Raw genomic sequence first — 12,958 nt, 5'->3', positions numbered from 1 at the left:
TGTTGCCCAGGCTGGAGTGCAATGGCGCAATCTTGGCTCACCACAACCTCCACCTCCTGGGTTCAAGCGATTATCCTGCCTCAGCCTCCCAAGTGGCTGGGATTACAGGCATGCACCCCCATGCCCGGCTAATTTTGTGTTTTCAGTAGAGATGGGGTTTCTCCGTGTTGGTCAGGCTAGTCTTGAACTCCCGACCTCAGGTGATCCGCCTGCCTCGGCCTCCCAGAGTGCTGGGATTACAGGCGTGAGACACCACATCCGGCCAAGAATACTATTTTTAAACATTGCTTTACTGTGTTTCACATATTGGAGGATCACCTTGTGTTTTTCCCCATAGGTTGATTTGTTTCTAAGAGAGAAATTCTCTGTTCCATGGCCTAGATCTTACCCAGTACCCACTTTTGATTTCAGAGACTTGTTATGATTGTAAGGGGACTAGAAAAAAGGGTGGATGGCTGAATACAAGCTAGTCTCACTTCACTAGAAATGTCCACATCCTAATAGTGAACCTGATTTTTATAAGCATTTAAGTGCTCTTTCATGTTCCCTTTCTACCACATTCAGAAATTGCTACTTTTCCTTTAAAAACATTTAATTTTTGTTATATAGATTTTCAAGATGTGGAATAAAGAACTTTATGTGAGAGAACAGCAGGATGCATATGAATTCTTTACTAGTCTCATTGATCAGATGGATGAATACCTCAAGGTAGTAAAAGTTGTACTTTCCCTCTAACTCCCTCAAACTCTAATTATAGTATGAGAATAGTGTCTTAGCATTTGGGGTTACTATGAAACTGACGAATCAGAAATTGATTATCTTTAACATAAGAACTATAATGTATTCTGTGTTTAAACATCAAAACATAACACAGATCAATAGAATTGTATATTTTCTCTTTTTTTTCTTTTCTTTTTTTTTGAGACAGAGTCTCGCTCTGTCACCCAGAGTGGAGTGCAGTGGCACAATCTCAGCTCACTGCAACCTCTACCTTCCAGGTACAAGAGATTCTTGCACCTCAGCCTCCCGAGTAGCTGGGATCACAGGTGTGCACCACCACGCCCGGCTAATTTTTGTACTTTTTGGCAGAGATTGGGTTTCGCCATGTTGGCCAGGCTGGTCTCAAACTCCTGGCCTCCAGAGATTCACCCACCTCAGCCTCCCAAAGTGCTGGGATTACAGGCTTGAGGTACCATGCCTGGCCTAGAATTGCATATTTTCTTAATTCATCTAACGCTCAGTAAAGTATGTAACTCTTAATCTCTACTACATAGTAATAACCATTCCTACCTACATATTCTTTCTGTGTGTCTACTGAAATAATCTGGCCTCAGAAGAGTGCTGCAGTCACTGGTGAGCTGATGGCCCTGTGCAGAGCAGAGAGTGCTCTGGCACAGGGGAGAAAGGAGCCAGATTAAAAAGTTATTCGTGGTGCTGTTGAAACCCAAAGCTCTCTACCTCTACCCTGTAAGCCATGTGGCAGACTTCCTAAACGGTATTGCCTTCTCAGATCCCGCTGTCACTGCCAGCATTGGCCTCTCATCAGTAGGCACAATTCTTCCATTTTTTAAAGTAACTTGCAAATTGATGGCATTCTATCCACAAGAAAAAAGAAAAGATTGCTGAGAGTTGCCCCTAACTTGGTCCTTGTAGCACAGGGAGAAGGATTCAGAATCACCCTGGAGAACACTCTCTTGTCATTAGCTCTACCTGACCCATCCCTCCTCCTCTTCCTCTTCTGATCGTCTGCATCACTCTGACAGTGGGGCCAATAATGGGTTTAGCCTCCATTCACCACAGCTGATACTACCAGAATGACGCGTTTTGTTTTGGTCCTTAAATTGCAATGTGTTAATAAAATTCTGTATACTCATAAGTTCAGGAGGCATCACTTAAAACTGTAACTTTTCATTCCAACAGAAAATGGGGAGAGACCAAATTTTTAAGAATACATTTCAGGGCATCTACTCTGATCAGAAGATCTGTAAAGACTGTCCTCACAGGTGAGTGAAGATATCACCGACACAGGAAAAATGATCATCCTTTTGAAGTGATTTGTTTAGTATGTTGTAAATTTTGCATTTGTTAAGAGACTTAGAACTCTCTCCCTGTCAACAGATCTATAAGTATTTAGTGACTTAAATTTCTTTGCTTTCTACTTCCAGAAGGAGAAAAAATTTCTTTGTGGGCTTAAGAAAATATTCATTGAAATTCATAATTTTAGGCAATTCTTAATTGTCACAAAGTGGCATTTTAACTTAGTAATGGACTTTTAAAATATTGAGGGACTCCCAGATTAAAAATGTAGTTCTGTGTTCAAGCTTAGGTATTATGATAATTGAAGAGTTTTAAATTCCATTGTTGATTGTGGGTTTTCTGTTATTTCCTAATCAGATATGAGCGTGAAGAAGCTTTCATGGCTCTCAATCTAGGAGTGACTTCTTGTCAGAGTTTGGAAATTTCTTTGGACCAATTTGTTAGAGGAGAAGTTCTAGAAGGAAGTAATGCGTACTACTGTGAAAAGTGTAAAGAAAAGGTATTATGTTTGCCCTTTTTAAAAAACAAGATTAATTTGTTATTCGCATAGTGCGTCTTTGTTTTATGTAAAATCAGTATTAAGCTCCTACTGTTATTTCCATTAGATTGTGTCATTACTTGTTTTCACATGGATCAGAAAGGCCTTTGCATTAATTACTGTGCTGTTTTATTTTCTCCATGGAGATCATTCAGATTTGCTCTTTTTCCTTTTTTTTTTCTTTAGAGAATAACAGTGAAAAGGACCTGTATTAAATCTTTACCTAGCGTCTTGGTAATTCACCTAATGAGATTTGGGTTTGACTGGGAAAGCGGACGCTCCATTAAATATGATGAACAAATAAGGGTAACTTTTTTTCTTCCTGAAATTTTTCACAACCATTCATTTCCTCACTCACTTCTTTTTTTTTCCTTTTTCAATTTTCATATTCTGTCTACCATGTTAAGGCTGTTGTCTCAGCATTATGAAGAGCCCCTTATCTTAGGCAGCTGCTGTTACCGGAATAGGCAGATCTGGAAACAGTGGCCCTCATTTCTAGAAGGCATCCTAGTGATTACTATGAAGGAAAATGCCTTCCTTAGGGCTCAAACCAGAGGCTACTTTAGACGTTCCCAGACTTAACATTTCTGAGATTTTATACTTGAACTGGTGAGGTAGTTGTTCCTAGCTTAAACTAGGAAAACACTTCCTCTTATTTGGATCTCACTTAACTGGGTACTGCTGTATATGTTAGTAATCAACGTTAATATGGTCTTTTTGCTTCTACATAGTTTCCCTGGATGCTAAACATGGAGCCTTACACAGTTTCAGGAATGGCTCGCCAAGATTCTTCTTCTGAAGTTGGGGAAAATGGGCGAAGTGTGGATCAGGGCGGTGGAGGATCCCCACGAAAAAAGGTTGCCCTCACAGAAAACTATGAACTTGTCGGTGTCATCGTACACAGTGGGCAGGCACACGCAGGCCACTACTATTCCTTCATTAAGGACAGGCGGTAAGAGTTTCCTGAGGCAGCACTTACTCACTTTCTGCCCTCCCCTGCTCTCCGTTATCATCCATACTCACCGCTGTGGTGCAGGGACACTTTGGCATTGTTCTTGACTGTGTTTCATTTTGAAGTTTTAAAGCTTCGTGCAACTGGTTTTACCCCTTCAATTTGAAAAGTTGTTTTAGAAATTGAAATAATTGTTGCTACATATTTCTTAGATATTTTCAAATGGTAAACACCTGCTTTATTTGTAGACAATACATTGAGATCAATGCTAAGGATGAGGAGGTTGATTTTTTTAACCTTATAATGTTTGTCTGATCTCTGGGTTCTAGAGGGTGTGGAAAAGGAAAGTGGTATAAATTTAATGACACAGTTATAGAAGAATTTGACCTAAATGACGAGACCCTGGAGTATGAATGCTTTGGAGGAGAATATAGACCAAAAGTTTATGATCAAAGTAAGTATTTACAAATGGATATTTTCCATTAGTTTTTTTATTTATCGTTTTCTATAAAAATTAATAGTATTCTTTATATAAAAACACAACAGATTTTGTTATTTTTATTGTACTACTGTTCTAGCAATAGAACCATGAGCAAGCTCTTTAATAACCAAAGTGAAAATGTTCAAGCTGTTTATAAAAATTTTTTTAAATAATTTCTTACAACAACCTTGAGGGATAGGTAGGGGAGCTGGGAGTAAGTTAAAAGGATGAAATGAGCATCAGAGAGAAAGTAATGAATACTGAAATTGAACCTTAAAAATAGTTTTGGAAGTAGTTATCCATTAAAATTTTCAGATTTCCTTTTCACTTATGTAGAGGTGTGACTAATTAGAGAAGACATTTCTAGCACCTGTGTTTTTAAAACCATATTTATTATGCAGTGTGGCAAAGCAGTCTTTCCCTCTACAATCCCCACTCCCAGGAAAAAAGAGTATGAGGAGAAGTACAGCCCAATCAGAACTTGCTATTTGATAAAAAGCTATTTGGTGGAGACCTTAGCATTTCAGAAACCTGATTTTGAAATCTTCTAGTGGTATTTCTAAATTTTTAGCTGTATTGGATTCACTGTATTAGATTTTGATACCATGCCATTATAGTTAAGCATCTTATGGTGGTAACCTTTAAGAGTTGGATATAGTATTGTCAGAATTTGCCTGGATTTGGCCGATCTTGGCAGAAATGGTTAAGTGAGGCCAGTTATCCCATCTTGTGCCACAGAACATATTTTTAAATGTCACTTGCTATTTGCTTACATTTAGACCTCCCTAGGATACTTACCTTCTTTCTCTTACTCCATTACCATACTGCTCCCTTATTCCTTGTCCCCACCTATATCACTTCCAAGTGAGAGATCCAGCTAGGCCCACAACTGAAGTATCCTGACTTCCATGCTAAGCAGTACTCTAAAGACACTCACATTTTACTTATACTTTGCATTTTACAAACTTAGGGAGTAGTTAACTACTTGCTGGAATAATGGGCCCTTTGTTTTAGATTGTCAAGACAAGAAAAACTTTTATTTACAGATGTGTTTCTTAATGTCTTGTTATAAAGCAAACCCATACACTGATGTGCGCCGAAGATACTGGAATGCCTATATGCTTTTCTACCAAAGGGTGTCTGATCAGAACTCCCCAGTATTACCAAAGAAAAGTCGAGTCAGCGTTGTACGGCAGGAAGCTGAGGATCTCTCTCTGTAAGTGTCTCTTCCATGTAATTTGCTGTGTGATTTCTATGGTGATGATGTGGTCTGTGACAATATACTATTTGAGATTTTAAAGATAATTAGCTAAGCTGGAGAGAAATTCTAAAAAGAATTCCAAAAAGAAAATAAATCCCTTATTGCTTCATGGTTATTTTCTTGGCAAGAAGTTGTTACATATTTAGAAACATGCACGTAAGTTATTTCATTCTAGAATTGAAGTGTTTTGTTTTTTGTTTTTTTGAGACAGTGTGGTCTCACTCTGTCACCCAGGCTGGAGTGCAGTGGCATGATCATAGCTCACTGCAGCCTCGACCTCCCAGGCTGAAGCGATCCTTCCACCTCAGCCTCTTGAATAGCTGGGACCACAGGCGAGGGGCACCAGGCCCAGATATTTGGTTTGTCTGTTTTTTGTAAAGATAAGGTCTCCCAATGTTGCCCAGGCTGGTCTGGAACTCCTGGGCTCAAGCAATACTCCCATCTAGGCCTCCCAAAGTGCTGGGATTATAGGCATAAGTCACCATACCTGGACTTTTTTTTTTTTTTTTTTTTAATGTTAGCAGCATTTGTTGAATACACTTTTTGTCCAAAGCATAATGCTATGCCAACACTGTCAGAATGTTGTTGTTTTTTAAAGGTCCTATTGTCAGTGAATTTGCCTTTTAATATATTGGGTCAGGAAAGTGTTTACTTTTTCATGTGAGAAATATGACTATATGTGTTTTATTAAATTTGAAAACTTGGTTCAATACTTTGTTCTTACACGACTTTGAGTGTGTGGCTCTAAGATAAGTTTATTTCACTGCTTTTTTAATGGCTGGGAAAGATATCTCACAATAATATGAAGGAAGAATTCATTTTGTGCTTAAATGTTAAATCTCATATGCCACTTAAGTAAAAATTTGTGTTAAATTTGCCCTGCACTATTTTATCTTCTATAATGTCAATCAGTTCTCCCAACTAATTAGAAAGTATTGCATTTTTAATTTCTTAATTGTTACATTATGATTGTATATATTTATGTGGTACAGTTTTATGTTTCGATACATGTATAATAATCAAATAGTCTAATACCCGTTTATGTGAATTTGGCAAGTCTTAGTAACTACTGAAAAAATAGCCACTTTATACTAGACAGAGTTTTCTGATTCTATCTCTTAGGTCAGCTCCATCTTCACCAGAAATTTCACCTCAGTCATCCCCTCGGCCCCATAGGCCGAACAATGACCGGCTGTCTATTCTTACCAAGCTGGTTAAAAAAGGCGAGAAGAAAGGACTGTTTGTGGAGAAAATGCCTGCTCGAATATACCAGGTAAGAACCATATAAAAAATTCTAAGGGGGAATATCCACGTGGACATCAAAATGTATCTAGTAGGTCCAGAAGTACTTCTGCTGGATTAGTTGTACCACTGGGGCTACATCGTCTTACACACTTGTCTCATGAACCTTTTATGCCACGACACAGAGGGGGCCATAGAGCTAGAGCCATGGAGTGCTAAGAACACAAGTATGAATACACACTCATGATTGGCAGGCACAATCACTGACCTGCTCTGTGAGTGTGAAATGTCACAAATAAACAGAGTTGTGGGGAGTGGGCAGTAAAGAAATCGTGTTGCTGAAATAAACTTATTTTGTCTGGAGAGAAAAACAAGTTAAGGTTCATAACCTTTGAGTGGGACTAATAAAACAATCATTGGCCATTATTTATTGAACACCTACTGTGTGCTACGTGCTTTAAGCACATCTTTAATTTGTAAAAGATTATTATGCAGTATCAGGTTTTATTCTCATTTTTTGGATGGAAAAACAGGTTCAGAAAAGAAGAAGTATGTGCCAGTGTCACAGGACAAGGATCTAAATTCAGAACTGTCTACTCAGTCCAGACTTTATACACTAATTAATCAAAAGCTCAGTAGCTAGAACAAGAGAATTTGAGAAAAATATCGAGTCTTACATTAAGAAAGAAAGAGAATTAAGCCATCTGACATAAAGGAAGCATGGAGTTGGTTGTGCTTGGGAGAGCTCTGTTTATCCCCTTCTACCTAAAATACCAAGTTAGAATTCATTTGTCCTTCACATGGCAGTTTACCTGAATTTCCCAAAAGGGTATGGTTTAATGAATAATAGTTCTTATAACATCTTATATGTCAAAGGAAGGTTTTCTCTCTCCTCTTTTAAAAGTTCAAAACTTGAGAAAGGGGAATTATAAATTATAATTCACTTTTTATAAGTGCTTTTTACCTATATTTTTACATATCATTAGAAATGTCCTTCACATATTGAATATTTTTCCATTTCATAAAAATAATTATTAATCTTCTTTTGTAGATGGTGAGAGATGAGAACCTCAAGTTTATGAAGAATAGAGATGTATACAGTAGTGATTATTTCAGTTTTGTTTTGTCTTTAGCTTCATTGAATGCTGTAAGTAACTAACTGGATTGTTAGAAATAAGAAAGGGTTACAATTAAATATGCTTTAGCTAAAGCATTCAGTGATTCATCCTCAGTCTCAGTAGTTAGCATTCAGGTTAGATGCAAAAAGGTTTTCCCGTGAATGTAGCCCGTATTGGGTAATATTAAAATGCAAGCAGCATTCTGAATGTATAATGTAGATGGTGGGGAGGTGTGACTTCCCACATACTGGCTTTCTAAAGTGCCCTTGTTTAGATTTATAAAAGAATCTTAGAATAGCTATAACTGTGAGCTCATGTCAATGGATATTGGTCTTTGTGGAGATTCCTAATTTGTAATAAAATATCACAAGACTAAAGATTAACTTTCAACTACTTTTCCTTGAGTACCATGATTGTAATTTGCCAATAAGGGAAAACAACATTCTTAGTCTCTTGATGACTTAACATCCTGCGGTCTAACAACTGTTTTGAGAGGATTTCATAAAAGAAATGAAGACAATGTCTTTTCTTAACCTTTTTAAAAATTTAAATGGAACATTTTTTTATAATGAACTGGCAAGATTCTTCTTATTAGTATTTAACTTTATCATGTGTGTATATCATATTCATATATTGTGTGTGTATCATAATTTAGTTCGTAACTGTGTAATAATCTATAAAACTTCTGTGAAAAATATCCTCTTTCATGTTTCCCTCTCTTAGACTAAATTAAAGCATCCATATTATCCTTGCATGGCAAAGGTGAGCTTACAGCTTGCTATTCAATTCCTTTTTCAAACTTATCTACGGACAAAGAAGAAACTCAGGTGAGAAGTGATATGTTTTGATAATCTGTTGTGACAGAGGGCACTGGTGAATTCAATTGAAGTTGAATTTATAATTAAAATATTGTGAAAGCAGCTACCTAATTTTATTCAGAGGACTAAGACATGGTCTCTAGCTTTAAGAAACTTCTAACCTAATGGAAAGAATAGCTCAAACAAAAGAGAAATACCTAAAAAGACAATTTATACCAAGGTATAAATTCTGTACATCTTCGAATTGGGCAAAATCATATCCAGATAAGGAGATTAGAGTAGGCTTTAAGACACTGATGTTCTCAGAGGGTTTCGAAAGGCAAAACAGAGAAACACAGAGGGCTCATTTTAGGCAGAAAGGAAAGCCTGAGTAACAGACAAGACTTGGCCTAGGGAACCATGAGTGACTAATTGTGTTTTAGTAGGACGTGTGAGAGACTCCTGGAGCTGAGGCTGAATGTTGGGTTTAGAACTCACTGAGTGCCCTTAGTGCCAGAGCAGGGAGTTTGGGCTGTGTTCAGTGGGAGATCGTGAAAGGTTTTTGAACAGGGAAGTATGTCCAGAGTAATGCCTTAGAACAACAGCCTCCAATATTTTTAGCAACAGGGAGTGGTTTCATGGAAGACAATTTTTCCACAAAAGGGAGGGTTGGGGGGACAATTAGATTCTCATAGGGAACGCACAGCCTAGATCCCTCATGTGTGCAGTTCACAATAGGGTTCATGCTCCTATGAGAATCTAATGCTGCCACTGATCTGACAGGAAGTGGAGCTCAGGCTGTAATGCTCACTGGCACACCACTTACCTCCTGCTGTGCGGCCCTGTTCCTAACGGGTCCCAGGCCGGTACTGGTCCATGGCCCAGGGCTTGGGGACCTCTGCCTTAGAAACTTTACAGACATTGACTGTATCTTATTCATCATTGGTTTTATGGTTTTTTTGGGTTTTTGAGGCAGAGTCTCACTCTGTTGCCCAGACTGGAGTGCAGTGGTGCAGTCTTGGCTCACTGCAACCTCTGTGTCCCGGGTTCAAGCGATTCTTCTACCTCAGCCTCCCAAGTAGCTGGACTATGGGCGTGCGCCACCACACCCGGCAAATTTTTGTATTTTTAGTAGAGACGGGGTTTCGCCGTGTTGAGCAAACTACTCTTGAACTCCCAGCCTCAGGTGATTCGCCTTCCTTGGCCTCCCAAAGTGCAGAGATTACAGGCGTGAGCCACTGTGCCTGGCCTCGTCATCGGTTTTTATCTTCAGCACCTGGTAAGGTGCCTGCACATTATAGGTTCTGGATAAGTCATTGTTCTGTGAATAAATGAGTGAAGAATGAAGAGTATTGAGCAGTGGTTTGTAGAATATACCTAGAGTAAGGGGAGACCCAGGGTGAGGAGACCAGTTAGAGTTAAAAGACTACTTAAGTTCCCAGTCTTTTCCCTCTCACTAGCAAAGTGAGCTTCTCCAAGTATGGAGAGGTTTTTGGACAGATTTTGCAGTCAAGAAACTCTTCAGAAAAAATATATAGTGACAACTTCATTTTTATGTATAATAATCAAAGATATATTAAGTGATCTCAGTCTTTATTATCTGAAAAAGAAAAAATAATGTATCCCTTTCTTTTAATGTCTGGCATAGGATTAACTAATTAGTCACTATGCCTATCCTGGCATAGGATTGGTCACTTTTGTTTGTGAAATTTGCTCATGCTCTTTACACATGGCCCACTATTTCCATTTTGTTTATATGGCCATTTTACACAATGATCATTTTGGGACATTGGGGGATGTAAGGGAGGTGTTATGAGGGCTTGGGTAGAATAGTCATTATACCTTTTTTCTGCCTGAATATTTTTTTTTTATTCCATAAGGTAGGATATTAATGATTTTAGCAATAAAGCATAAAAATGTCAATGTAAGCTATTCTGAAAGTGGACATTTTGTGAGTGTAAATTAATGAAAAAAATGCTATAGTTCAGGCCTTTTGTCTAATTCGAGTTGTTTGATGAAGATGCAGAAGGAAGGTAAAGTCTAAGACTTAAGCTTCTTTACACTTTTTTGTTTGTGGGGAAAGATGAGCCACACCACAAGGAGCCAAGGAATGCAAAGCACTGACTTCCAGAGTACACTGAGCCATGGTAGTGGGCAGTCATTAAGTATCTCTTATCCCTCCACTCTACCCACGAGAGACATACAGAGAGACATTCATAGATAGAAAGGATAAGAACCAACAAGAGTGCACTGCATGAGGTCATTGGCTGGGCTTATGCTCCTAACATTGCTGTATCTGCTTTTTTTTAAAGGGTTGATACTGAAGAATGGATTGCTACCATTGAAGCATTGCTTTCAAAAAGTTTTGATGCTTGTCAGTGGTTAGTTGAATATTTTATTAGTTCTGAAGGACGAGAATTGATAAAGTAAGTGTTGGAGTCTTTTAATTAAAAGAAATTTGTGTCTCTTCCAGTGATTTAGAGCTGAAGTTTCTTATAACCCTTTTTATTTCAACTTGAAATTATTGTTCTGCTTAAAGTCTATTTTAAACTCTCTTCACTGAAACAGTGAGGAAATAATTCAGGTCACTCCAAAATCATCTCAGGCAAGTATTCAGTGACCACAAGAAGAGCCTGTGAGGCAGATCGCCTGCCAGGTACTCATAGGCACGTGGGTCTTAAACCCCTGCTATGGTTCAAAGGGGGTCAGAGACGCAAGTCTCTTCCCTCAGGGACTCGGAATCTGGTGGAAAGAGAGAAACAATCCCAGAGTACCACACATTTCACAATATTGTCTAACTGTGTTTGGATTCTGACTAAAAAATTATTTTTCAAAAATCTACCGGTAGGCCAGGTGCAGTGGCTCGCACCTGTAATCCCTGCACTTTGGGAGGCCACGGCGGGCAGACCATGAGGTCAAGAGATCAAGACCATCCTGGCCAACATGGTGAAACCCCGCCTCTACTAAAAATACAAAAAATTAGCCGGGCGTGGTTGTGGGCACCTATAGCTACTTGGGAGGCTGAGGCAGGAGAATTGCTTGAACCCAGGAGGCAGAGGTTGCAGTGAGCTGAGATCGCGTCACTGCACTCCAGCCTGGCAACAGAGCGAGACTCCACTCAAAAAAAAAAAACTCCTGGTAGTATATTACCTATGATAGTACATCTACCTAGGTACCTGAAATTTAAAAAAGAAAAATTTGCTTTTCTGGCAGAAATTCAGAATGCTCCAATCACTATGAATGTTTACACTTTACTTCTGATCATCCTCATCAAGTCAGCTTCTCTTGTCCTTGGAAGTTCAACATTTATGTGGGGTTCCAGCAAGCACTGCCGTGGTCTCTGGTGTCCTGTCTCCTCTATTCCCCAGTGGGCTCCTCCTTCACTCTGCCTCAGCTGTGCCCACTCCTTACCGCTCGACTTCACTGAGAAAGTACAGATTAGCAAATGAGCATTTCCTACCCCAACCACAGATGCCACACGCCTGCCAGAGTCTGTTCCAGCTTGCCCTTTCCTCTCTTTATTGTAGAGGAAGTATCCTCTCTCCTTTCAAAATGAATCTCTCTACATGTGCACACCTTCTCAAGGAAGTTGACCCTTTAATTATCTCACTCTTAATTCCTGCATCTTTACTTTCTAGAATTTTCTATCACTTCTGTCACTTCTGCCAGCATACAAATATGCTCTGTTTTCTCTCAAAACAAACACACAACAGGGAATTCAGAAACGCAAGTCTCTTCCCACAAGGCGATCACAGTCTGCTGGTAAGTTAGAGATCTTTTCAGAACTGCTGATCCCTGATCCTCTTCCTCTCTAGGTCTGAGCTCCAAACATTTATTTGCCTACTTGATATCTGCACTTTTCCCTCTAATCTATTTCATTCAGCAACAGACCTGTTCTTTTTCAAACAAATTAGATCACATTACCTCTCTGGTTAAAAATTCTTCAGCGGAATCCTGTTGCTCTCAGAATAAAATCCAGAATTTTCACCATTACCCACAAGGCCTTGCTTGATCTGGTTTTTGTCCTTCCAGGCTTTCCTTGACTCACTCTCTGCTTGTCAGGCTTTAGCCATACTGGCTCATTGGTTCCTTGAACCTGCCGAGCTTATTTTCCTGCCTCAAGGTCCTTGCACCTGTTATTCCTTATCTGGAACACCATCCTCCCCTCTTCACATAGTAAGTGGCTTCTCCTTCAGACATCAGCGTGAATAGCATTTGCTCTGAGAGGCTGTTCCCAGTCACCCAGTCTAACGGATGTTGCCTGCTAGTCTGCTCCCTTTTTTCTGCCCATCTCCTCTACTACAACTTCAGCTTCTTGAGGGCAGAAGCCAGGTTCAGTTCATTCCCTACTAGACACAAAGAGGCTGGCAAATAGCAAGCAGTCAAATACTTATTCAGGCATGCATGCATATATCCATATAATTCATAAAAAGAATCAGTAAGCATTTCTTTGAAGTGCTGTGTGCTGTACGCCTGTCCCTTTAGAGTTTGCATTAGAGATAACCATTTTTCTAGTTTGATTCCAAAATATC

At 39.1% G+C, this 12,958-nt stretch overlaps 1 protein-coding gene across 6 annotated transcripts in view; it reads left to right on the top strand.

Annotated features, from left to right (window-relative positions):
• USP24 (ubiquitin specific peptidase 24) overlaps positions 1-12,958 on the top strand; it is a 149,006-nt gene that overhangs the window by 114,886 nt on the left and 21,162 nt on the right. For all 6 annotated transcript variants that reach the window (XR_001737080.2, XM_047416524.1, XM_017000832.2 and 3 more), the window contains 11 exons: positions 610-708; positions 1,921-2,003; positions 2,395-2,536; positions 2,762-2,881; positions 3,307-3,527; positions 3,857-3,981; positions 5,083-5,224; positions 6,392-6,542; positions 7,563-7,658; positions 8,353-8,456; positions 10,739-10,852. Coding sequence is in view for 5 of the 6 variants with exons in the window: in XM_047416524.1 (XP_047272480.1) it covers positions 610-708; positions 1,921-2,003; positions 2,395-2,536; positions 2,762-2,881; positions 3,307-3,527; positions 3,857-3,981; positions 5,083-5,224; positions 6,392-6,542; positions 7,563-7,658; positions 8,353-8,456; positions 10,739-10,852 (1,397 nt within the window). In the remaining variant the exon portion in view is untranslated. The remainder of the gene's footprint in view (positions 1-609; positions 709-1,920; positions 2,004-2,394; positions 2,537-2,761; positions 2,882-3,306; positions 3,528-3,856; positions 3,982-5,082; positions 5,225-6,391; positions 6,543-7,562; positions 7,659-8,352; positions 8,457-10,738; positions 10,853-12,958) is intronic.

This window comes from Homo sapiens, chromosome 1 (genome assembly GCF_000001405.40).
Source record: "Homo sapiens chromosome 1, GRCh38.p14 Primary Assembly".
Classification (NCBI taxonomy): domain Eukaryota; kingdom Metazoa; phylum Chordata; class Mammalia; order Primates; family Hominidae; genus Homo; species Homo sapiens.
Note: the sequence above shows the minus strand (reverse complement) of the source record. Positions and strands in the feature narration are given on the sequence as shown.